The sequence below is a fragment of the Homo sapiens genome, chromosome 8 (assembly GCF_000001405.40).
Source record: "Homo sapiens chromosome 8, GRCh38.p14 Primary Assembly".
NCBI lineage: Eukaryota > Metazoa > Chordata > Mammalia > Primates > Hominidae > Homo > Homo sapiens.
The window spans coordinates 108,645,646-108,673,284 of NC_000008.11; the positions used below are offsets into that span (position 1 = coordinate 108,645,646).

Genomic DNA, 27,639 nt, shown 5'->3' on the forward strand with positions numbered 1-27,639 from the left:
ATGGTTCTGGGTCTGAGGGCTCCCAGCCTTGCCTGTCATTCCCTTACCCAAAACATGGAGCACAGACACAACAGAGGAATCAGACTTACAGGAGCCACACAAGTTGTGGAAATGGACATTCAGACATTCTAAGAGATAACCAAGGGATTAATTTATCCCCATCCCCAGGAATCTGGTATGATGTAAGACTGAGCCCCTGACAATGCTGGAGGAGGAGAACAACACAGCAGAAAGGGTTTCTTGCTAGGTGAACACAGGGAAGCTATGGCAATGATTTAAATAGGTTGAATTGTAATGAATAAGTATTATTTCCTACATGTCTAAGTTTGTGGGCTCAGATTTATGCTTGCCTCTATTAGTTAATGAGACAATTATAAAATTATTTTAAGAGAAATTATAAAACCAGTAAACCACTTGATATATATTGTTCACGAAGTTTTTTTTTTTTTTTGGAAAGAGTCTAATAAAGAACTTCATACTTAACATGGGCTCAAGAAATATTTGTTAAATTGAAATGACTGTATTAGGATGTTTCAAAATTCTCCATGTGTATCCATGCTAAATATACACTTTAGGACAAGTGACATGGTATATTTTAAGAAAGTCAGTGTAGTGCTTGGGTTGAGGGAATAGGTTTAGGAATCACCTGCTTAGATTCAAGTATGTTATACAATAATTATATAACCTTAGACAATTAGCTAAATGTTTTGTGCCAAGTTTGCATTTGAAAAATGAGTATAATAATAATAATGCCCACCTCTCAGTGTTGTCACCAAGATTAAATGAATTGTGTCTTTGAGTTTTAAATGCAAGATTTCAAAATTAGTGACAATGTATAGGCTGTAGCCAATTTGCATGGGTGAGTTCATGAATAAGTTCCAAATAGACAAGAATATGCCTTTTATTGTATATTCTGCTTACAGACTTGGAATTCAGAATCTTTCTCAAAAAGCCTAGAATTTGTTGTTATTGTTGTTAAACTGTGATCTGTTTTACAGTTTAATGAACTGAGATTCTGCAAAATATTCAGGCATTAACAGTGACAGTTTTAACATTGGCATAGAAACACTCTCAAGATATTTAAACATTAGCTAACTTGATTGTCTTTGGACTTCAATGCTGTCTTTATATATTTTTGTCCTTCATAACTCAGGTTATAAAAATATCATTACCTGAGCTAAAAAATGGCCAGGGCAACCACCCATATTCCAAGTATGTTCTATAGAACATTACATATTACATTGGAGAATAACACAGGGGTGGGTTCCTCCTTGGTTATTTCATTATATTAAACATCTGTACATTTCATTTTAGCTTGTATTATAGCTGGCTTTCTTGGTTACAGGCACACCAAGTATCCATTCCCCAAACAAGCTCTGTTTCTTGTAACTCACCATCTCCTTTTTAATTCCTTAATTCCACTGGCAATTTGGAGTGGTCTGCTTACTCATGTTGTGTCTGCAGTTCTGGAGTCTTAGCCCTTGAGTCATGTAATTTTGGAAATCTTTGCCTTCTGCCTTATGTATTAACAGCAATCAGGCAGCCTCTTAAGACCTTCCTGGAAACATCCCAAAATACCTCAGCTTTTATTTTGGTTTTAGTTTGAAGAAATATCAGTCAAGTTATCCCTGAGCTCCTAATTTTGACTGGCCACCCAGATGAAGACAGCCTTAGAGATGTCTAGTTTGGCAAATCAGCATCCTTGGCAGCAATTTGTGGATTTTGTAAATGTCACACAACCAATTTGTATTATCGAGGTACCAAAATCACAATTTAGCTTTTTATTCCAAGGAAAACTTTTTCTATGACTAATGTTTAGTACTAGAAATTCCTTCCTTTCTTGTTTAGCTGATCAATGAAAGGCTAGGTTTTAAAGTAGGAAAAAAAAAGTATGGGATTAAAGATTCACTAAGTAAAGAAATCTATTTTTAAAAAAACATTAGTAGCAATTGAGGGATAAACGAGTAAATGAAACTCTATAATCAGAGTTTATAGAATATTTCTTAATACATGTATTCAATACAACCTTTTTAACCTACTATATACAGGATACATTGCTAAGTCACAGAGAAAGTGTGAAAAACTAAGAGCCATTTTTTTGCCCAAAAGAAGCTTATGGTCTAGGATGAAAGGCAAGAAGATAAACAGGTGATTTCAATATAGAGCGCTAAGTGCTATATTAGGGGTAAGTACTTAGTATAATGAGAACACTAAAATAAAGCACCAGGAACACTATGGGGTTTGGGGTTAGAAGAATTTTCCTGGAGGTATACATATCTAAGCTATAATAAGAAAGGGGTAAACAATTTGGCCAGGAAAAGATAATGCATTTTGAGCATTCTAGGCAAGGGAAATAGCCATGCAAAGACCTCAGTTATTCCAATCAAAGAGGGAAGGCCTTAGACGTTCTCACTCACATATTATGTTAATTTTGGTAAATTGAAAAATAGCCACAGGTTCTTCCCGTTTTTTTGCATCCAGGTTCTTACAATGTGATGTCACAAATCCTCCCATAAAGAGGTGGGGTATATTTTTCTACCTGTTGAGTCTGGGGTGGCCATGTGACTTGTTTTGGTCAAAAGGACATAAGCAAATGTGGAAACTGCTTGTGCATTGGAGCCTGGCCTCTTTCTGAGCTAAAGGCCTGAGACCACTATGTTTTTATGAGCATGAGCAAGCCTGCAGGGGAAAAGAGAGATCACATGGAGGAAAATTGAGGCATCTGGGCTGACAATCTGCCAACTGCCAGGTAGGTAAGAGAAGCTGTCTGTGCGAGGCAAAATTAGCTTCACTACCCCGCAAAGATGTCCATATCCTAATCCTCAGGACCTGTGAATATGTTATTTTACATGGCAAAAGGGACTTTGAAGATATGACTAAGCATTTTAAGATGGGAGGATTATCCTGGATCATCTTGGTGCGTTTATTATAATCACAAGGGAGACAGGAGACTCAGAGTCAGAGAAGATGGGGTAATGGAAGCCAGGGTAGCTGTCATAGAGAGATTTGAAAATAGTATATGGCTGGCTTTCAAGATGGAGGGAGGAGTCATGAGATAAAGAATGTAAGTGGCCTCTAGAATCTAGAGAAGGCAAGGAAGTAGATTCCCCTCTAAAGCCACGAGAAGGAATACAGTCCTGTGGATATCTTAATTTTAGTCCAGTTAGACTTCTGATCTTTATTTAGAACCCTCAGGAAATACAAACTATAACAAGCAGTTTTGGTCTTAAGTTACTACGTTTCGGGGTGATTTCTTACACAGGAACCGCTAAACAATACACTGATCTACAAGTTCAAAATAAAAAATAAAGCAAAAGAGTATTTATATTAAGCTACTTAAAAATAGTCATTTTCTAACTCTCCTATGGACTTTTACGTGGGTTCTTTACATCTTCTGAGATTCCAAATGAGGATTTCATCCATTCTTTCATCCAGTACAACCTGGTTGTCTGTTGTCTGAATAGTAATGAACTAGACCCTGCAGCAGAAATTGGGAACTTGTTTCTGCTTTCAAAGAGCAATTATGTTCCTAGAAGTCTCATCTTGAGCATGTTGCTTAAGTCTCTAAATTTCAGTATCTGCATCTTCAAAAATGGGATAATAATAGTACTTAGCTTAGAGAATTGCTTTGAGACTCAGATGCAAAAATGCTTATAAAGCACTCAGCTTTACATGACATTCAATAAGTATTCAATAAATGCCAGCAGAATTGAAAAGAGATGAGGGAAAACTAGATGGCAAATAAAAAGTAGGAAAGACAGTAATATGAGAAGTAACAATAACTCTTATTTATTGTTTGTGATGCTCTGGAAAACTTATGTTTATGTTTAGTAATAGTGACAAAAACTCTGCAAGGTAGATTTTGTTATTTTTACTTTACAAATGCCAAAATTGAGATTTCAAAGGTTAAGTATCTTATTAGGTCGGTGCAAAAGTAATTGCAGTTTTGCCATTACTTTCAAAGGCAAAAACCGCAATTACTTTTCACCAACCTGATATCTGACACCAGACAAGCAGCCAGTAGCACCAGGTATCTAACCCTGCACTGTCTAATCCTAACGTCCTTTATCTCCCTGAAAACCCTAAGTTTGTGGTAGTTTTAGTTGGTAGTTACACAGTCTTACTTCTGCACTGTTCAGTAGCCAGGTGGCTGTGGCTTAGGGTTTTCAAGTCCAGTGGAGCCTTCAATGTTGCTTGGCAATTTTTTTCACTAAATGCGGGTTAACAGCCTCAACCTTTTCTCTTTGAGTAGATTATTTTGCCTCGGCTTTCATAGACAAAATAGAGGCCATCAGATATTAACAGTTTCCCTTCCCTACATTATAAAACTTCCCACAGTAGTATCCATCCTTCTTTTCTGTATAAGGGAAAATGAGTCAATATTTATCAGCTGCATGCTTTTTATATCTCCAGCCTAACCTGAACTCTTGAACCACACTCATACTTCTTATTACCTATGAAACATCTCTACTGGGTATCCAATAAGCTTTTCAAACTTCACTGATCTTCCTTACCAAAATCTGTTGTCCCATCATCTTCCCCATGCCAGGTAATGGCAACTCACATCCCTCCAGCTCTTTAGGCTACACACTTTGGAGTTATCCATGCCAGCCAAGTCATTATCATTTCTTGTTTGGATTATTTCAATAACCTCCTAATTTATCCTCTTTCTCCCTCCAACATTGTGCACCTGCAATCTATTCTCAACACAGTATCTGGAGTTATTCTGCTAAAAATGTAAATCAGATTACATTTTCTGTCCCAAACTATCTATTGTGTTCTCATTTCATGCCAAGCAAAAGCCAAAGTATTTGCAATGGCCTATAAAACTCCATACCATTGGGTTCCCCATTGCCTCTTTGACCTCACAGCCCACTATTCTCCTCAGTTGTCCATCTCCTTGTTGTCCCTTGACTATGTTGGCCTTGTTTGGCCTTGGGCCTTTGAATTTGTTCTTCCCTTTGCCTGGAACAGTCTTCTCCATGAAATTTGCCTGGCTTTTCTTTTACTTACTTTGGATTGTTGCTTGAATGTTTTATTCTCATTGAGGCATTCTTTTTATTTATTTATTTATTTATTTTTTAGATGAAGGCTTGCTCTTGTCCCCCAGGCTGGAGTGCAATGGCATGATCTCAGCTCACTGCAACCTCTGACTCCCAGGTTCAAGAGATTCTCCTGCCTCAGCCTCCTGAGTAGCTGGGATTATAGGCACCTGCCACCACACCCAGCTAATTTTTGTATTTTTAGTAGAGACAGGTTTTCACCATATTAGCCAGGCTGGTCTCAAACTCCTGACCTCAGGTGATCTGCCCACCTCGGCCTCGCAAAGTGTTGGGATTACAGGCGTGAGCCACCACACCTCGCTCACTGAGGCATTCTAATCACTTTATTTAAAATTGCTTGATACTCTACACCGTTCTGTATCTCCCTTTTATGTCTTAATCTTCTCCATAGCGCTTACTACCATCTAACATTCTGTATATTCATTTTGTTTGACTCCACCAACTAAAATGCAAGATCCATAAAAATGGGATTAAAAAAAAGTACCACTATACTTTGCAGTGGTTATGACATTGCTGGAATATAGTAGAACTTCAGTAAAGAATTTTGAAATGAATGAATCTTTTTTTCCTTGCTAAAGAACTTTGTTTACATGCTGAATCCAACTTTACTGCCCTCTTTAGGAACTGATTCATCAGTTATTCTCAGAATTTCCTGTGTTTTTCCTCTCTTTCATCTGAATATAGTCTTTAGGCTATAACTGTAATTAACAATCACTAATCTCTTTAAAAATATCTTCTCTGTGGTTTCCAGTTTAGGCTATTTTTCTATGAAAATTACAGTAAAGAAACACAAGATGGAATGAATGCCTAGGAAAGATAGGAGGCTGGAAGACAAAATGAGATTTTAAAAAATATCTGGAAATTAGAAAGAGGATGAGAGCAAGATGAAGGATGAGGCAGAGGAGTAGAGGCAGCTATAGCTCAGAATATATGGAAGGGAGCTTTGAGGTGTGTGTGTGTATGTGTGTGGTTGGGGCACTGTCAGCTTATCTTCCTGGTGGTGCCTAGAGAATATGTGGACCCCCAGTTGACAAGGAGAAACAGCAGTAATGAGAAGTAAAGCTAAAAGGAGAAGAGTTATTTTTTTTTGATATATGTGTATGCATTGCATCAGTCTGTTCACCCATTTCCTCTCCCCATTGTTATACACAGAACTGTTCACTGGTGAGCTGGAGAGTACGTTGAGATTACAATGACTTCCTTATACACCCAGTGTTACGACCATGTGTCGCTAAAAAAAAAAAAAATCCTAGTGCAAAAGTCAATATATTTGCTGACACTCTACTAACTACTTAAAATCATGCCACATTTCAGTCTTCTTCATATTTAGGTCTTGACTTCTATGAACAGTTGTTTTTGTTAGATTTTTATAATTGGATTTTTGCTAGAAAGAAAAAACATTTTTTACTCGCATTAACTCTTTCAATTTCACAACAAATCTAAGAAAAATGCAACAACAGGAAAATTAAAACAAATGGAAACATTAAAAGTATCCATCAATATATACAAATATTGGTTAAGTAAATTATAGTGTAATCTTACTATATATCATGCAACCTTTAAAAGAAAGGGAAGTAGATGTGTGTGTCCTGACACGGAAAAATACTGAAGATACATTTTCAATTGAAAAAAGCAAAGTGCATGATGGGATAAGTGGACTAGGCACATGGACTGGGAATTAGAAGGGAGTGCTTAGAACACAGTCACCTGGAATATCTGAAATATCTGAATACCTAAAATATCTGAGAGCTTTCAGTTTCTGCAGATTGATGCAGAATGCAAATGCCAGGAGGGAGAGACCCTGACCACCAGAGTGCAGGATGGTGCTCATTCTCAAACAATTTGGTTTTCTGGGTATCATAAGAAAAATATCCAGAGAAAACAGAGACACTGGGAAAAGATAGTTGCAGTAAAGAAGGCAAAAGAAAGCAAGAAAAAGAAAGAAGAAAAGCCAATTGTGCAGAAAATCCAGGAATCTGCCCCTAACACAGCAAATATTTTCTGAGATCTCTAAGCAAAGAGATTCTTTTGGAAGACAAACACTCAGGACAAAGGCTGTGTATCAATTTGAGTATGACCCACCCCATGTCAAAGAAGGAATTGAGTAGACTGGCTGGACAGATATGAAGGTTGTATGGTTCAGATGAAATCTAATAGGCCATTTTGGATCTGCCTCACTGGATTCACAGTAGACAGTGCCCTGTGTGAAGAGCGAAGATGAATTTTCTAGCGACTTGCTAGACATAAAAGAAGACTTCTTTTAGTTTATTTCCTCTGGAAAGCCTTGTGTTCCCGACTCCTAACTTAGAATACACTCTTGAAGATGTTGATGTAAACGAAGTTTGTATCTTTGATGGACTTGTGGATGAAAGCATTCAGAAGAAGGTGACATTTCAAAAGGCCCAGGAATACTCTTTCAGGACAGCCCACTTGTCTGTCATTCCAGGGATACATGACCAGACACCAGAGTGGAAATAACTCTCATTTAGGGATGCTGGCCATCAATCAAGTATTTGATATTCTGTCCACTTGAGACTCTTAACTGGCCTGAAGCATTGAAGACAGGAATTTCTTCCAAAAAAGTTATATTCTTCAGAGCACAGTGGGATGATGGGCCTAAGATTGCAGCTGCAGAACAAAGCGCTGGAGGCCCTGACCAAAGAACAGGGCAGAGGGTGGCAGTGACACACTTGCCTTTACTTGACATCTTCTTGGATCTTCACAATAAGCTACTAATGACAGGGACCACATTTTGTACTCTTTTTTATCTCCCATACTTCCTAGTTCACAGGATGTACTTGTATTTATATTAAGTAAAAAAGTTTATGTAACAAGGAATTAGCCCAAAACCACATGGCTTTGGATGTGTCTTAATTCATCTTTTGTACATATATCATTATATGTGAAACATCTACTCTTTAGAGATTGTTTAAATAATAAATAATTATTGTTGTATAAAAATTAAATAATTATCATTATATAAGAAAAAAGCAAAGCACAGCACAGTGCATAAAGATGATTCATTTACTCTGTTGTGCTTTTTTAAAGAAGTATAACAATAGATACATCTATTTTGGTTATGTGCAAATATCCTTTTTCTGAAGATGAATTACACAAATTGGGATTGATGATTAGCTTTGGGATAGGTGGGAAGCATGGAGGCTTTTGCTATTTATTTGTCAATTTTCTAAAATGTCTGTACCATTGGGTAGGTGGGAATTTTGTCGTGTTTGTATTTACCTTTCAGAATATGTGCATATATAATATAAAGATGTATTGCTTATACAATTTACATTAAAACATACTTACATAAATAAAAAATATTAAAAAGCAAACAGTGGTTGAAGGTAGAGGGGTTTGGGACCATTGTTTTCATTATAAGACAGCATACTTTTGATTTTATTTATTTATTTTTTATTTTCTTAGATCTTGAGCTTGCATTACTTTTACTTAGTGGAAAATAACAATAAAGATGGAAAAAAGGATAAAGGCAGCAGAGGAAAAGCATTTGAGAGCTTAGGCCCAGGCACCAGACTGCCTAGTTTTAAATCTTAGGTCTGCTACTTACTAGCTGGATAACCTTGGGTAACTTACTTACCTTGTCTGTGTCTTAGTTTTCCTATTTGTAAAATGCAAAATAGAAATACTTTTCATATAGGGTTATACTGAGGATTAAATTATAGAAATTAGTTAATATGGAAAAAGTGCTTTATTTAGTATCTTATACATAGTAATCACTGCCTGTGATATATTATAAATATGTTCTTAGGTAAAGAAAGGGAAAAAACACATAAACCACTTCAATCTGTTTTATTTTCTCCACCCTGACCCATGTCTAGTTTGACTAATAATTCTAGGGTTGGGAGTCTTTTCAAGAAGAAGGAGAAGACCAGGGTTGAAGCTGAGCAATGGTTTGGGGCCTCTGAAAGAGGAAAAGGCAATGGGAAGAATTTTTCAAAAATAAAAATTGCATTCTAATTATTATGCCTGAATCAATACCTTTATTCCTTCTTGCCATCCTGAAAAATCTTTGTCCTTTTTACCAAGTGTTTTTTTTTTTATATTCCACCTAATTTTAAGGAATGGCCAAGCCCTACTCCCTCCAGGATGCCTTTGATAAAGTTCCTGGTGCATGCAGAACTCTCTTGTATATATTGTTTTTCATCACATTTAGTTCCATCGTATACTGTATGGTCTAATTACAGGAACCACAGAAATTAGTTGTAATTTATCGTATGATAGCATTATGTAGAAATACATCAGTAATGTACTAATTACTATAGGTTTTCAGTATGTTTATTAGATTGGTAGTCATTTTTTTATGAAAGAACATCGATTTTCCTTTGACCTAACATATCTTGTAAAATCTTGTACTTTCTTTTTCCTTATATTCATAAGTAAATCTTTAGAAGTGGAAAGCTACATTTCATAATAGCAGTTTCCATTTCCACAGATGAGTTACTCCTGAACCCATTATAAATGGCTTTCAGTCCACCATTCTGCTAAAACTACTTTCATTGAGGCATGCAGTAACTTCTTACTTGCCAGAGGCAAATATGTATTTCAGTCCTTATTTTACTTAACTGTTTAACATCAATGTCTTGACCACTTCTGGAATCTTCTTGAATCTTCTCTGCTGGAATCCCAGGACTTTGGGAGGCCAGGTTTGGAGAATAGCTTGAGCCCAGGAGTTCATGATCAGCCTAGGCAACATAGCCAGACCATGTCTCTGTAAAATAAAAAAATTAAAAAAAAAAGAAGAAAGTTAAAAGACAAATTTTTAATGATCTGTGGTACGTTTAAAAAGAAACACTTAGAAAGTGACCTTGCAAAGCCAAAATCATTGATGGCAAAAAATTTTTAATATAGTTCTTAGAAAATGCACCTCCATGGAAATTCTCTTTTACTCCCCCAAGCTGCTGGATTCCAGGAGAATTTCTTCTTGGCTCAATTCCCACCCTTGGCCATTCTTTCTCAGTCTTCTTCATAGGCATCAACATCTAAGAAAATCTTCTGCAGGTCTTTCCTGCCACAGCTGGTTATTATAAGTATCAGAAATATAAATTATGATAAATTGGATAGTAAACAAGGTTACCATCATATTTAACAGAAAGGTTCTTAAGAACTGAAACATTGTAGAACAATATAGCACATCAAACAATATATTCTAGGGAAAGTATCATTATTGAGATAATATCATTTTGAGCATCCAGGATTTTGGAAAAGATATTTCTATAGGAAAGTTTAAAAAGGCTGGGCACAGTGGCTCATGCCTATAATCCCACACTCATGAGTGTGCCAGGCACACATCATTTGGTGGTGCTGATAGGGGCCAGAAGTGCTCTTATTCCTCACTCCTCTTTTCATTCAAAAGGAATTTTCCCCTCTCAGCGGTTTACTTTCGTCCCCAGGAGAGGCAGACTAATTTCAAGATTGGTGAGTTTCGAAGGAGAATCTGGCAAGTGTAGCTCCTTCTTCTCCCCTTGGTCTTTGGGATTTGCCTGCCTGCAGAGAATCTGCTCTAGTGGACCATATGGAAATCTTAGTGGTAAAGGTTGTAAACTTGCTTTTCTTCCCCCACAGTGAGTGGGTGAATAAGTTTGCTTAGTTCAGGGCTCATAATCGGGAAGCTCATTGTTGTCACATGTTCCCTGGGAGTCCTACTTTGATCTTCATCTGGCTCACTCCTTTGCCCATCTCAATTGATTTAGATTCAAGAGGGAAAACCAGGGGGTTTATTTAATAGTCCATTCGAACTTCAATATCTTCTTCCACATAGAGTTACTCTTCACTATATGTAACCTCATACACTGAAGAAAACTATCATTTCACAAATGTATTGTTCTACCTGTGGTAGTTTCAGATAGAAATCTTCCTATGATTTCATTAAGACAAGACATAACCACTCTTAGGATGACTTCATTGTCCCGAAGAGACCAAAGTACATCCCTCAGTGATGCCTAAGCATACCTCTCTCACGATCATAAATTCAGCTTAGAATTCCTGTGGTCACACATTTTGTTCTCTATTTTTGCCATGTAGGTAACAAAATAAAGAAGAAACTACCACCTAAAAAAGTAGAAAAAGACTAGAAACGTGCAAAAGAAATTCTGCTTCCTTCTTTGGAAAATTAGATCTTGTCCAATATCATATGATTCTCTACTGTTCTAGGATTTTCTCATATTGAACTTGAATGAAAACTTCCAAATTCTGGTAAAAATTTTTTCCAGAAGCCATTTTTATAAAAAAGATAAAATTTGAAATTAAGCTGAGAAATCATAACAAATGTAAACCTCTTTTCTTTGTGGTTTTCTCTATTATGTAATAGTCATAAAGTGCATTTTATAATATTCACTTTTTGGTATGAAAATATTAGTCTTTTGAGACAATTCCAATCAGCATCCCTAATTTATATGTAAGGGAAATATTGAGTCATTCCAGGTTAGAGGGAGAATTCTTGGCACAGTTAAAAACTGAAATTCTAAGATTCTAATCCTAAGCCATATGGGGTCCAACCAGCTTAATATAGCAAGATGTTCTCAATAACTACCATGGTGTTATTCAGGGACTGAGAGAACCAAAAGTTAACCAGACCTGGTCCTCATCCCTGAGACTCTTGCTTACAAGCAGGAGAGGTAAATGTGAATTCAGAAAATTGTCTGATCCTCCTCTTCTGAAGCACCAGCATAACAAGTTTGGGTATTGGCCAAATGGATTAGTGCTATGTTTGGGTTCCTGGATGCTGGATCTTGGGTTTGTAAGTGCTCTGAAGCAACCAGAAATGGGAAGAATTAGTTGGAAGTAAAAATATGAAAACAACCCCAAACCCCAACTAAACCAAGAAATAGACAATAAAAAATATTTTTGGACCGGGCGCGGTGGCTCACCCCTGTAATCCCAGCACTTTGTGAGGCAAAGGAGGTCAGGAGTTGGAGACCAGTCTGGTCAACATGGTGAAACCCCATCTGTACTAAAAATACAAAAATTAGCTGCGCATGTTGATGTGTGCCTGTAATCTCAGCCACTCAGGAGGCTGAGGCAGGAGAATAGCTTGAACCAGGGAGGTGGAGGTTGCAGTGAGCTGAGATCGTGCCACTGCACTGTAGCCTGGGTGACAGAGTGAGACACCGTCTCAAAAAAAAAAAAAAAAAATATATATATATATATATATATATATATATATATATATATATATTAATTACATATATATATTTCGAGAAGTCCAAGGTCTATCACTTTTAGAAGTGGAAGTCAGCATAAATTAAAATTTGAAGGAACAAGAGTCTGGTAGACACTAAGACCACATAGAGAATGAGAACAAGGCAGAAGGAAAATGAGAAGACCCCAAATCATCGCAGAGAACAAGCTGACCAGCTTGTGACTCATTCCTGGTGGCTGCTGGCCATACAAATTATGAGCTTAAGGCCTGTATTGGAATTATGAGCTTAAGCCAAACACTGGATCATCGTGGTACAGTGGAAAGAGGACAGGGATTTCAGCAAATCATACAAGTAGTTGTTAGTTTCAGCAAGTCCATGTTTCAAACTGGTACATCAGTCTTTCCACCTAGAAGTATAAGGGTTATGTAGGAATGGGGTACCTAAAATAATCAGGAACATTGGCATATACACAGGATTTTTGGCCTTATTATATTTGCTTTCTTTTATGTCATGTGCTTACCTCTAGATCTGGGAGTGACTGAGACCAGCCCTAATGTGCTGAGATAGACACATTAGAAATGAGAGAAATGAGTGGGTCTCTAAAGAGAAAACTGGGATACTCTTACCCAATTTAGAAGAAAATAATTCCAGACTGGTAAAAACAGATGTCTTCCACAAAGAGGAAAGCCAAAATATCAAATGCAGCTGATGACAAGGATTATGAGGAAAAAAGATCTCTGAATTTATCAATAGTCCTGAATGTGAGAAAGGCAGTGGGCTGTTCTAGGAAAGCTTTGCAGCCAAGCAAATGCCAATCTGAATCCTGGTTGAGCCTCTTCGTAATGTTGTAATCTCTGGCAAATCAAATAATCTCTCTGAGCCTCAACTGTAAAGCCAAAATTATGATTACTACCTAATAACTTGAATACAAAGATTAGAAAAACATAGGTAGTTATCATTAACAGTCTTCAAGAGAATAAACATTTCAGTGGTGAGGATTGAATGGAGAGGAAATAAAAATAATAGAAATATACCCCTGATACAAGAAAAGTAATCAATGAAAGAAAATAGAGAAATCCGATGATAGCTAGAAGATGGCATCAAGCTAAACTTACTTTTACCACGGCTTCCACCTGCCACTATAGGGCAGATCTGTCACAATAAGGCAGAAAATATGGAGACTTGGTAGAAATAGCCAACTGAAGAAAAATATATAAAGAAAGGAGTTAAATGTGATAAACCAACAAGTAATTTAACATTTAATATGGAGAAAAGACCATTTCTCCTTCAAAACTAAAGATAAGGACAAGATGGCAGAGGGAGATAGAGATGCTGAGGTAAGATGTGGTTTGATCCTGAGGTGTGGCCTTTATAGATAGCCCACTAACACACACACACATACAGACACACATATGCACTGGACACTTGGGTCCTTGTCTTACTGAAGTTTTCTAAGGCAAGTGCTGACTCCTGTCCAATGTCTCCTCCTAGAAGGATTTTCCTTCTTTGTTTCCTATGAAATGATCCTCCTTGGATTCTCATTCTCTCTTAAACCTTGTCAATATCCTTTCTTTCTGGTTGTTTCAGAAAAGCTGGTGTTCTCCTGGCTTCCAGTCTTGGTCCTTTTCTGCCATTTTTACATGCCTGGGTGAGCTTGCCTAGCTTCCCATTGCTTCAATTTAGTCTCGAATATTGGTAATTCCAAGATCTATGTCTCTGGACGAAACTCTTCTCCAGCACTCAAAGACTTCTTATACAACTAATTGGTTACAGGTTGTCTCTGGCTAAATGTCTTTCAGTCTTAATATGTCCAAGATAGAACTCTATATTCACTCAAACCACTTCCTGCTCCAACCTGTGTTGCCCAGATACCCCTCAAGGAGGACTTGTATCCAGTAGCTGGGAATGTTGTCAGCAAGCAGCCTCAGTTGTCAGCTCCCACAGGTTTCTCCACAGCTTCAGAGAGCCATCTCACCTAAGACCATGCCGTTCCTGGACTGGTCTACATCCAATTACTCAGTACAGTGAGAGCACAAAGCCCCAGCCATTTCAGCTCCCTTCAGGACAACTTTGATGAGCCGTATGCTACCCAGAGCTCCTGAGACATTGACCAAGGCATCAGGCCTGCATTGCAATTCATCTTCTCCTTCCACCTAACCCCGCTTCCTCTGCCTTCCTTCTACAGAATTTGATCTCTAATAAATACTTGTCATGCCAGTCTTTGTTTTGGCATCTGCTTCCAAAGAACACAACTTGCAGCACACCAGGACCTACTTGTTTTCCAAAGCAGAAATCTAGATGTTATCTCTCTCCCACCCCACTCATTCACCAGTCATCAAAGACTGGCAATTCTTTCTCCTAAATCTTACCATTCTAGCTAGTTTCTCTACTACTCCCTACTCATTTCCAATATTCTAGCTCAGCTTTTGCATCCTTGGCAGGCCTATCTTAAACTTGATGGTTAAGATTCCTTCCATTGAATGGGCCCAGATGGGCCATTGTTTTCCTCTTTGCTGAATTGCAAGTTTACAAGTCTCTCTCCTTTATTTAACTGTCTGCTTCTCTGGGCTAGATGCCAAGTCTTATTTTTCTTCTTGGTATTCAACCTTCCCAAAACTTCACTCACACCCTCAACTCCATAGCAGAAACCTTACCCAGTCCCTGACACTTAGAGAAACTCTGTATGCATTTGGGTAATTAACACATCAATAATATTGTCCAGGTAAATAAGATTTAAACAATACCTAACGTGATACTGTTTAAACCTACAGTTAGATAGTTCTGCCTTACAGAGAGCTTGTCTATAAAATGACTTAAACACATCATTCACACATCATAAACCTGCCCCTTTTTCATCTTTTTGTTATACTTCATTGTGAAACAGTTAGCCGTAATATCCCCACAGAGAGTATTTCATGCAGGTAACTCAGTTCACTGGGAGAAGAGAACAGATTTTAACCGTTGCTTATTTTGTATATTTGTAGCTCCAGTTTGCCAAGTCTGAAAAAGTTACCATCATGTTATGTATATGCTGTATATATAACATGGAAAATTATCTGTGATCAAGGGAAATAACTAAATAAGGGAGGTTAGGATCCATCCATGTGATGAAATGTGGTTTAGTATTAAAAAGCAAATCCATTCCCAGAGATTGACTAGGATGATACTTGTAAAATAATCTCATATGGTTAAATTTAGGGACCTGAAAAAAATTCCACCTAACCATCTCCTCTGTAGCATTTTCATTTGATTATAATTTGAATATATTTTCATTTACTTTAAGCCTTTTCCTTGGAATTACCTATTCCAAGATTCTTAAATCAGTGGTAAGAGAACTGTTGGCCAAAATTATGGCATCCCTTGTACAAATGATCTTTTTAAATTATACGACTCTGCTTTAAAAGCAGCTTTATGCAGCCAAGATGTTTTTAGTTTATGATTTGCAAGAATTGCTTTGTGATTTTTGCCACTGAACCTGGTCTTTTATCTTTTTCCTCTCCCTTGCAGCTCTTTTTTTTTTTTTTTTTTTTTTTCTATCTTTGCTGAGGTCATCTGAGAAAGATGGAGAGGCTTATCAGTAATGGCACATTGGTCTTTTTGTTTGCAATTTAAGATTGGAATCTTTCAAAGAAAATGGAAATTGGCATGGATCACTCTTATCCCTTAGAATTTCAATTTTCATTAAGTAGATGTTTATGGAGCAGCAGCTTGAACCAGGCACTGAAAGTACATGGGTTCATATGTCTATGAAACCATGTCTTACGGAGAAGACATTAAACCCTATTAACAATTCCTAATCTGTGTGATGAATGCTGTAAGGGTAAGCACAGAAGGCTCTGGAAGCACTAAATCAATGTCTGATTCCACAATGAACGGGGCAGCCTCCTTTCTGGGTAGGTGACACTTAGTGTTTAAAAGAAGAATGGGAATTAGCCAGGGAACAGGAGGAAGTCATACGTTAGACAAGCTGGAAAGGACCTTCTAAGGAGGAAGGAGTTTGTGAAATTGCAAGAAATTCTCTATTCCTTATAAGGAGAGTGAAAGGAAGGAAATAATAACAGATGAGACTGGTGAAAAAGGATGATACAACTATAAGCATTTACAATTTTCCATCTCTGATTTTCTACGAAATGTGGATTTCAGAGATAACAGTCCTTCTTTTTACAGTGGGGTGAAAGATAGAGATGGAAAATGAAAGCAGCTGAAGATTACCTTATACGCTAAAAAAGATGGATAGACCCATTGGGAGAACAAAGGATTTGGGAGATAGAGCCTTCCACAGTCAGGATGAAGAAATAAGCAGGTGGAAAAGTTGAGGAGGTGGTGGAGATAGAGGGAAAGAGAGAGACAAAGAGAGATGGAAAAACACACACACATACAAACACACACATAAGACAGAAATAGTGAGAGACACATGATAGAGAGGTAGGGACACCTAGAGAGAAAACAAACAGATAGGCAGTGAGGGAACAAACAGAGACAGAGATCGAGACATTCGTTGAAAGACAGACATTAAACAAGGAGACAGAGAACAGGAAAGGCAGCAACTACTACAGACATGAGAACTTTAAGGAAAGGGAGTTGCTCTTATTGAGGTTTTTAAGATTTCTTGTGTATTGTGTTACATAATGCCCTTCGTTTTTCCACAAAGAGTTTAGTAGAACTACCCTGCTTATCAATGTTTTTTGACTTAGAGTTTTTCTTCTGGATGTATTACCATGGTCAGCCTGGCTCCATAGATGCCCAGTTATGTACTATAGTGGTAAGCAGTGATGAGATTAGGGAAGGCCTGTGTGCCCCATTAGGGTTTGAGGTTCCTTAGAGACCAGCTTATTGTAGTTAGAAGGTGAGATTTCTCTGTTTTGACCCCACAATTTATGCATAAAAAGCTCTGGGGAATCTGGTTGCATCTCAAGAAAAGCAGCTTGGGCATCACCTGGCCTGGGAAGTCTTTCCAATCCTTGCAGACCTGGTTGGTGCCCTACTTCTGTGTTCCCACAGTACTCTGACTCACCCTGTTTACCACAGGTAGAACATGGGGGAACTCTATTCACATGGGGTGTAGCCTTGTAGTATAGTTTGAAGTTGTAATGTGATGCCTCCAGGTTTGTTGTCTTTGCTTAGGATTGCCTTGGCTATTCGAGCTCTTTTTCGGTTCCATATGAATTTTAAAATAGGGTTTTCTGCCGAAAGCAATAGCAACAAAAGCAAAAATTGACAAATGGGATCTAATTAAACTAAAGAGCTTCTGCACAGCAAAAGAAACTGTCATCAGAGTGAACAGACAGCCTGCAGAGGAAGAGAAATTTTTTTCCATCTATCTATCTGACAAAGGTCTAATACTTAAAGGTCTGGATATAAGACTCTAATATCCAGAGTCTACAAGTAACTTAAACAAATTTACAAGAAAAACAACATTAAAAAGTGGGCAAAGGACATGAAGAGACACTTCTCAAAAGAAGACATTCATGCGGTCAACAAACATATGGAAAAAAGCTCAACATCACTGATTTAGAGAAATGCAAATCAAAACCACAATGAAACACCATCTCATGCCAGTCGGAATGGCGATTACTAAAAAGTCAAGAAACAACAGATGCTGGCTAGGTTGTGGAGAAAAATGAACGCTTTTATACTGTTGGTGAGAATGTAAATTAATTTAACCATTGTGGAAGACTGTGGTGATTCCTCAAAGACCTACAGGCAGAAATAACATTTGACCCAGGATTCCCATTACTGGGTATATATCCACAGGAATATAAATCATTCTATTATAAAGATACATGCACGCATATGTTCATTGCAGCACTATTCACAATAGCAAAGACAGGAAATCAACCCAGATGCCCAACAGTGATAGGCTGGATAAATAAAATGTGGTACATATACAACATGGAATACTATGCAGCCATAAAAAGGACTGAGATCATGTCCTTTGCAGGGAGATGGATGCAGTTGGAAGCCATTATCTTCAGCAAACTCACAAAGGAACAGAAAACCAAACACTGCATGTTCTCACTTATAAGTGGGAGCTGAACAATGAGAACACGTGGACACATCAGAGGAAACAACACACACTGGGGCCTCTCAGGTTGAGCAGAGGGAGGGAGAGCATTGGGAAGAATAGCTAGTGGATGCTGGGCTTAATATCTGGGTGATGGGTTGATCTGTGCAGCAAACCACCATGGCACACATTTACCTATGTAACAAAACTGCACATCCTGCACATGTACCCTAGAACTTAAAAGTTGAAGAAAAGATAAAATAAAATAGGTTTTTCAAATTCTGTGAAGAATGTCATTGGTAGTTTCATAGGAATAGCACTGAAGCTGTACATTCCTTTGGGCAGTTTGGCCATTTCAACAATATTGATTCTTCCTATCCATGAACATGGAATATTTTTCCATTTGTTTATGTCATCTCTGATTTCTTTGAGCAGTGTTTTGTAATTCTCTTTGTGAAGCTATTTCACCTCTCTGGTTAGCTGTATTTCTAAATATTTTATTCTTTTTTGTGGCTATTGTGCATAGTATTGAGTTCTTAATTTGGTTTTCAGCTTGAATGTTGTTGGTGCATAGGAATGTTACTGATTTTTGTACATTGATTACATTGATTTTGTATCTCAAGACTTCGTTAAAGTTGTTTTTCAGATCAAAGAGCTTTTGGGAAGAGAACATGGGTTTTTCTAGGTATAGAATCATATTATCTGCAAACAGGGAACGTTTAACTTTATCTCTTTCTAATTGGATGCCTTTTATTTCTCTCTTTTGCCTGATTTCTCTGGCCAGGAATTTCTTCCTTGCTTTTCTAATTCACCAAAGCCAAGTCTTAAAGATTCAGTGGCCTACAGGTATCTGCTAATTAATATTATTGTCCCCATATAACCTAGAAGAAACAAGTAGAGGATGTTAAGAGACCTGCTCAATGTGAGGGTAATAGTAAGTGGCAAAGCCAGGTCTAGATCATAGATCCGCTAATGTTTGTGTCTCCGCTATTTTGACTCTACAATATTACTTCTCACCTGAATGGAGTTCAATTAGAAAAAGGATATAGATACCTGACCAAACACAGTCTGCATACTTAAGCTGTCTCTAGATTACAAGGAGATCAAGTGAAAATTGTACCTGGTTTGATCCAACTTAAAGCTTTTTTTTTTGATAAACTATACCGATTATCTCTCTTGCCAATGGTCACATACCTTGATATCCTTGTTTTCTCCTGCATGTTAGATATAACTTACTATGAATAGTGAATTACAGTGGAACAAGCCAAGTTGAGAGGTTACAGCATTTGAAATTGGCCTCTCCTACTGTATGTGCATGTTCTGTGCCAGAAACAGACTCATTTACAGGAGAGAGGAATAACTTCGACCTGAATTATTATATAACAGACAGTAACTGGTCCAGCAGTCTGGGATGGGTGAAGAAGTTGTCTAATGAGGGAATTGTTATTTCAATTGGGAAAATAGCCTTGTTATAGGGAGTGTGAGAGCAAATGATAATCTGGAATCCTGGATAAGAGAAATGGGCATCAGGGAGAAAGAGTAGCAGGAAGCAGAGGCCCTACCCCTTTGCCTACAACAAGGAGAGCACAGTAGAGAACTAAAAAATGCAAGGAAGGTTTTATTTCCAAAGATTTCTGAGTACATAAATAGCCTAAGAACTCAGACACTAAATATGCATGAAGAAAGTAATGGCTGGACTAACAAAAATGGTAAAGATATCAAGTCAAAGAATGGTAAATGGAGATGCTTAAAGTTAGTATGCCTAAAGTTAAGATTGGTCCTTGCTAATGTGGTTGTCTAAGTGTGCAGACTGGAGTCAAGATGGAAAGAGAGAAGAGGGTTGCAGAGTCTAAGGAACAGCAAAGGCTTAATACTTCTTTATTGAATAGATAACAGTACTATTTTGGAGCGTCTGACTTAACTGCTGATACAGACATGTACAAAGAGATGGAGAAGTTGTTCTAAAGGATACTTGATTCAAAACAATATGCTTGCAGCACAAAACCAATAATGCAAAATGTCTGTTAATATATGAAAGACAGGGGTAATGCTAAGAATATATCATTCAATTAGACTATGCATAAGGAATAAGTAAATATTTTGATTTACTTACATTGCCAAAACAATTTTTTAAAAGTTTGTTTTTATTGCCTTGATGTTGAATAGAAGACTGTGGAGGGAGACAAAATCACCACAGAATGAAACATTTAAATAATAAGAATAACTGAACTTTTAGGCACAGGTCTCATTTATTTGGACTGAATGAATCCAAACTCTCCAATTGAAAGCTATTTTAAGAGAGAGCCTGGTGATATAGTCTTCCAAAAAGCCACCACCTTCAGAAATAGATTCTGTGTGTTATCCAATAATCAGCTGGCAACATAGGTGTTTATCTAAGATTAATCTAATAGACTTCGTTTGCTTAAAAGCTAATCATTGCTTAGGAGCCACAGTAACTACGAGTTGAGTGATTACAGTGCACGTGTTGGCAATAATTCCTAAAAGAATTTAAAAGCGTCAAAGTCAAGGACAAGAACTGGTAATGATTCTCTGGAGTATGGTTTGAATATTAGTTTTGGTTCCCCACCAGGGGGCTTCCTGGACCCCTTTAAGGGCAGCAGTCAAATAAAATGCTTTGTCCCAGCTTATGGACAAAGGAGTGGATGTAACGGACTTTCTTTTGCTCGTGTAATCTACTACAAGACTCATGCTAATGTACCCCTGCATAGCTTTATAGTGTGACTACCTAATCTACTCTTCATCATCTTAGTATTGAGAGATGGGAGATTAGACAACAGAAAAAGGAGATTAATACAGACTTTACAAGACATAATGTGGTCACATCCCATCTCTTGGCCCAGATTTAAGAGCATTGGGGTTTTAAAGGCCCAGTGGCTTAAAAGCAACTAACCGACCAGACAGAATCCTACCCAAATACTGCATTACATTTACCACATGAGGAAATTTAGCATTATAAATAATTCAGCCCAAGTGGCACTTCTCAGTGCAGATGAACTCAGGCCATTTTGCAGCATTAACTCTGATGATTTTTGTTCAAACTTATTTTCTAGTACAATCTTGGTTCATCTTTAATGGGCTACTTACATCATCCATTTAAAATAGTTAGGTTCATCCTGCTCTCCCACAGAAACAATGCCTATTTCTCAGAATGATAGTTGCAAGGAGAGGTCTAATTTCCCAACATAGATTGATTTGTGTGTGTGTGCAATGAAAAGAATCTATGTGCTTTTCGAAGTGGCCAGGGTCACAGTGGCTGTAATCTCGTTGATCTAGATTAAAAACAGACTCTTGTCCTGGTATGCTGAGTATGAGTCCCAGTTGTGTAACAAGTGGTTATTCCACTTTTGTGAGTAGGCACATAAGACTGACCAATATCTCAGGGAAGCAGAAAAAATGAACATAAGATTGTTAAGTGTTTTTGGTCAAGATAGAATATTATAGTAAAATGATGTATTTTCCCGTCATATGATAATGCATGTGAATTAAACAATACAAATGCTACCTTTAGATTTTAATTAGAATGATCATCAGTTACTGAGTAATTTTTGATGAGTCACTCTTTTTCACTAATAGGAAATAAAAACTCCAAAGATAATGGAAGCGTTTCACTGCTACATTTAAATATAGATTTCTGGATTATTGTTGTAATAGGTAACTTATTAGTTGGGTAGTAGGAACTACTTACTGACTTCAGGATTTTCCATGATAATATAGTTATGATAAAGGGAATTTCAAGGTTTTGCAAATTATAGACTGGTAAAATTCAGATCCCTTAGATATTTTTTAATGGTCTCATTCATCATTTCTCCTTTGTCTGCATAGTTTATAAAAGTAGAATTCCTAGCTCTAATTCATCTTTGGAATGTTATGTAGATTCCACACCTCTCCCTACTGCCTACCTACACCCTCCCAGCCCCATCCCCTGCCAGATTTCAGCATTCTGCTCTCTGTTCTTTCCCCTCTTTAAATGAACGAAATTGAACGCCTAGTACCTCCTCCCATAATACTAAGAAGCAGAACAATGCTGTCATCTGCTTCATTTTATGGACACCAGTGATTTTCCTGTAGTGGAATAACTCTTGATTAAATATTTTCCATGCTCCTCCACATTTCCTGGTTCTACAGCTCTTGTTTCCCTGACTTAAAGCAAAAATATTGCTTGGCTAAGATACCATGCTCTATTTCAAATCAGTTTGCCACTAAAATTTGGTTATTGGAATGTCCTTTAAAAGGCAAACTACCCATATTTGAATATTACTCACAGGATAAAAAATCAACCAGCCATCTCCTCAGTATGTTCATAAATTTAATAAGTGATTTTTCAAAGAGCTTTTTATAATTATCCCTCTTTTAGAAATATAACCTCAAAGCTGATTTCTAGTTATGGCTTAATACATTTATCAAAACATAAGTTAATATATAAAGGCACATTTATATTATCTGCAACATTTACCTTTTCCAGCTAGAGAAACTATGTTGTTTATCAGTTATTGTATTAATAATAGTCATTGGTTAATGTTATTAGGGAAGTTATACCATTTTCATGACATGTCATAACAAAATAAGCCACAACAGCAACAATAGCACCAGCTCTAACTCTGGTACTACTACTACTATTGGTAATTCTGTGTCTACTGGCCCTGTGAGATAAGCCTGACAGCTACACTTATTCCCATTTTAAGGATAAGGAACCTGAAGCTGAGCACACTTCAGTGACTTATTTTAAGGTCAAAGCACACACCCAAGGTAGAAGCAAGGAAAGAAACCAGTTTTTCTGACTTTCAAGAATACATAGTTGGGTACTGGGTTTTTGTTATGTTAACAGCACCTGATATATCGGGGAAGTTTGACTCTTATCAAAGCAAAATAAACATATTTATACAAAAAATATCACATTAAAAACTTTTTTGTCAATCTTGAGACTCCAAATTTCATCATTGGTATGACTGTTTTTTCCCGTCCTCCAGAACTTTGTGTTTCTGCTTGGTCCTAAAGCATTGGAGAAGCTTATTCAGATAATCGGTCAGTAGTCTGCCACAGTTGAACTGCAGTTACAACATTAATCCAGTTTACATTGTAATTTAGTCTGAAGTTCTGCTGTTTCTGTGCTGCACTTGGGCACAGAAGATTTTTATGACCAGGGAATCTTGGTGCCTGAGATCTTGGCTCCTTACACACCCTACTCAACCATTCCCCCTTTGAAGTCTTGCCACTTTCTTAGGTTGCTGTTAGAGCATATGCAGGCAATACTTAGGGGACTTATAGATCTCTCTCGTTTTTCAGGTTATGTTTCAGTTTATCAAATACGTAACTTCTCCTTTCTGCCTGACTTCCTGACCCTCAAAGCATTATTTTCTTTCTTTCTGCCTAAGACTTTGCCAAAGTCGCTGAGGCTGGGGTTGCAGCCTGCTCAAGAAGGAGCGGATATAAGGAGGACACACACAAGTTATCCTGCCGAGCACGTTACAATGAAAAGGTCATCATTAGTGGCCCTTTTAGTCATTTAAAACATTTACTGAGCCCAAAGCTTTCACCTTCTATTCTGGGCTGAAATGCAGAGAAAATTTGGGCTGGTGATATTTGCATATATGCTGTAAGGAGTAGAAGAAAATCATATCCTTCAATTCTTGGTAGTAAGTGGAAATAACTGGTGACTCTGAGCAGATTCTGATTAGAACAATAAGATATTAGCTTTGTTTTCAAATTTTAATAAGATTTTAAGTAAGATTTTTGAAAGCAGAGGAAAGTTTATATACTTGACTATTTCCATTGTCAGTTTATCATTGACAGTCACAAATCAGAGGGAAGTGACAATCATCTCCAGAATGAGAGAATACAGCATTCTTCAGAAGTAGTGCATGGGGCCAGGCATGGTGGCTCACGCCAGTAATCCCAGCACTTTGGGAGGCTGAGGTGGGCGGATCACCTAAGGTCAGGAGTTCGAGACCAGCCTGGTCAAGATGGTGAAACCCCATCTCTACTAAAACTACAAAACTTAGCCAGGCATGGTGATGCATGCCTGTAATCCCAGGTATGGGGGAGGCTGAGGCAAGAGAATCACTTGAACTCGGGAGGCAGAGGTTACAGTGAGCCGAGATTGCACCACTGCACTCTAGCCTGGATGACAGAGTAAGATTCTGTGAAAAAAAAAAAAAAAAAAAAAAGGCAATGAATGGCTTAATTCCTTTTCTTTATATTCATTTTTTTTCTGTACTCAGGAAAACTATTCATAGTATAGTAGAAGTATAAATAAAATGTTCACTCTGAATCTGGATAAATTATTTGATCTGCTGTCAAAAGTCCTTTCTTTATTTCATAATAAAAAGTGTACATGATTTATTCCAGTTTCAGTTCCCCTATGAACAAATAGCCAATTCTAGTGCTGTGTTCAATATTTTTACTTCAGAACATTGAGTAGGCATTGGGTCAGAAGCACCACCTGCTTAGGGAATGATTTGCCCTGCAATGTCTTTGGAAAGAAAGGAGTGTCTTAGTTTAATCCAGTATCATGTGTTGTGTATCACAGTATGTGAGAGCTTTAGATCATCGATGGAATTTTGATACTGAGTCTCCCATATACTGCAGTGCTGTGTGGTTGTGGCTGAGTCTTAATGCACCATATGATGTCACTTCCCCATTATAAAAACAAATGAAGAGAGTAGTGATTTATTTTGATACTTTCTTTACTTGCTTCTCAACTCCCCACAAGATCTTTAATAAAACTGGCTCTTCAGAAACAGATTAAGAAGCCTTGAAAATAGTTATATACGACATCTTTGTGGAAAGTCAGGATACAGAAAAACATGAAAGATGGATGAATTTGGCGGTTTGTAACATGTTACCAGAATCTATTTTCATCCCATGTTCACCGTAATATTAGGACCCAGCAATGAATTTTAGGTTAAAGAAAAAGAAGGAAACCACAAAAAGAAAAAAGAAAATAATCAGAAAGTAATTGATTTATAAACCTTTATGTTCTGTTTTAAACTCCAAAATCCCCATAAGAGCGAATCAAAGTTCCAAGAATGACCAATTGTGCTCATTAATAATAAAAAGGCACACTAGAGAAGAAGTTGAGAATATCATACCTATGCTTAGTGATATGATGTTTTGAAAGTGAGTATACAGTTGGAAAAATACAGTTTCATTAGTCCTCTCAGTGGTTTTTGAATCAGGGAAGAACGCTGAGACCTGATGAGGGTTCATACAAAACTTGGTTGAATGCAGTTGCAAAATACATCACCTAAACTATAGGTAGGGACTGGTGATGGCCAGTGCTCACTCTTGGAAATATTTTCTTTAGTGTTTGACTAGGAGTTATCCAACTGTTTTTATAAGGCACCTCCAATTTGGCTTAGAATAGAGCCAAAAAGTTAAATACTAGCTCAAGCTCCCACAATATCTTGGTTTTCTATGTGGCAAGACAACAGGATTTTCACTTTGCCACATTGCCCATGGAGCTGTACCACCCTCTTGCCAAGGTTAGAAGGCCCCCTGGGGCAAAAGCAACTGTCCTGTTTCTGTTTGTGGTTGGACTGAAGATGTTCACATGGCTAATGACCCCTGTGCCCAAAAGAAAAGCAGGTGACATTAAGGTTCATGCAATATTGATGTGTTAAGAGGGTTTTCACAACTCAGGAAGCTCTCTTAGCTGAGTTGGTTCTCCGAAAATGTTGAGTCCTGTTTTCCGTGGCATGGTGCAGCTGATGTTGTCACTCTGTGGTCAGGAGCAGGAAAGCTGGTGGGGTGGAGAGAGATTAGTGGTCTGGAAGTATGTAATTGGTATTTCATGGCAACAGGGAGTTGACAGCCCTCAGGGACCACAAATGGAGGGGAGGACCAACAGCTCAACTAGATTAAAACAAACTATGATTGAAAAAAAGTAAGAGAGAAATATATTCAAGCAGTTAAGAATTTGATAAATTACTCTATAGATGAATTCCATATTGCCTTCCATAAAAGGTAAAGTGTTAAATGAGATAATATATGTAAGGAAGTTAGCCTAGTGCCAGGATGACAGTGATTAATCAATTGAAAACCTGCCTGCTTTTAGTATTATTCTGTATGGGGAGCAGTTGGGTATAACTTAAGCTTAGCACAAGTATTATTTCATTTAAATTTTCCCCTTATTTGTACTAGAGAATTTAATCCTTATTTCAGATCTTGTACCTGACACTGTGGGTGGAAAAACTCCACTCATGAATTTGGAGCGGGCAGGCACACGGCTACGGCAGTTGCCGTCCAACTGAGTGTGGTTAGTTTGTGTAACTGAAGCCAAGCAAAGCTAAGGCAGTGCTAGTACATGGATCCTTCTGTTAGACTAAATAAAGAAGAGTGAACCCATTTTTATGGGGAGGAAAAGAAGAAAAAATTGTTCCTAACAGTAGGGGATGGCTTGAGTCTAGGAACCTCAGGCTGTGTCTAAATTTTATCAAATATTCAGATGAAGCTGCACAAAAATTTACTCAATCATCCAGATGTTTCCAGAAATACAATATTTTGATTTCATGTAGATGAAATCAGGGAAAGATTAGATTTTATTTTTCTGGCATTGTGAGACACAGTCTCAGTATCTTTCTTATTGTCTGGTGTGTCTCCCTACTTAGGACTATGTTGTGGGGACCAGCACAGCTGCTTTCTGGGGTTGTCAGTCCCCGGCCTGGGCCACTCTTGAATCTATAAAGGGCTGTTTGTTCTGTGTGAAACTCACTCAGGATGGAGCCCAGTTTGACATTTGGGTCATTGGAATGTGCCAGCTGAATTTAGTATCCTTGTGATTTCAAGTCAAAGGATTAAAATATACAAAGCCATGGAATTTAACTTTCCTCCTATCCCTCAGATCTCTCTGAAGGAGATCAACCAACAAGGGTCCTTCTGATGTTCAAAGAAATTAAATAACTTTACATTCACAATGATGCTATATCCTGTGTCAAGAACAGGTTAGCAAGACCAGTTCTTCACTCAGGACAAGATCATAAAGAATGAGCAGGATGGGAATGGGTTTAGTACAACATGGGTCACAAAGCAGGTATTCCAGATGTTGGCTTTTGAGTGAAAGAGTTGGAATAGTTCAAACACAGATAGTTTTGACATGAAGATCCAGATGATTAAACACAACTTTTCAACTTCATTTATCTTATGTAGCAGAGACGTAAATAGAGCATAACCTCAGTCTTCTGAAGGACATAGATTCAAATTCTAAGAAAATTGGATCCACTGTATTTCATGAAAAGAATGCCCAAGGAAGTAATAGCATGGCTAACTCCATAGATATAGCACTTGCTGAATTAGCTAGTCTATTTAAAAATCCTATGAGCTGTCTCTGTTATCCTCACACACAGATCATGGAAGTTGATCTTACCAGGGTAAGATTCTTCTGTGGTAGTCAGTA

General features: G+C 37.6%; 1 protein-coding gene and 1 pseudogene across 1 annotated transcript in view; one reads left to right on the forward strand and one right to left on the reverse strand.

The window, feature by feature from the left end:
* LOC124902049 (uncharacterized) lies at window positions 1-26,497 on the forward strand (annotated as a pseudogene).
* Window positions 1-27,639, reverse strand: part of TMEM74 (transmembrane protein 74) — a 180,745-nt gene that overhangs the window by 38,796 nt on the left and 114,310 nt on the right. The window contains exon 2 of the transcript NR_136411.2: window positions 9,648-9,792. The gene's annotated coding sequence lies outside the window, so the exon portion shown is untranslated. The remainder of the gene's footprint in view (window positions 1-9,647; window positions 9,793-27,639) is intronic.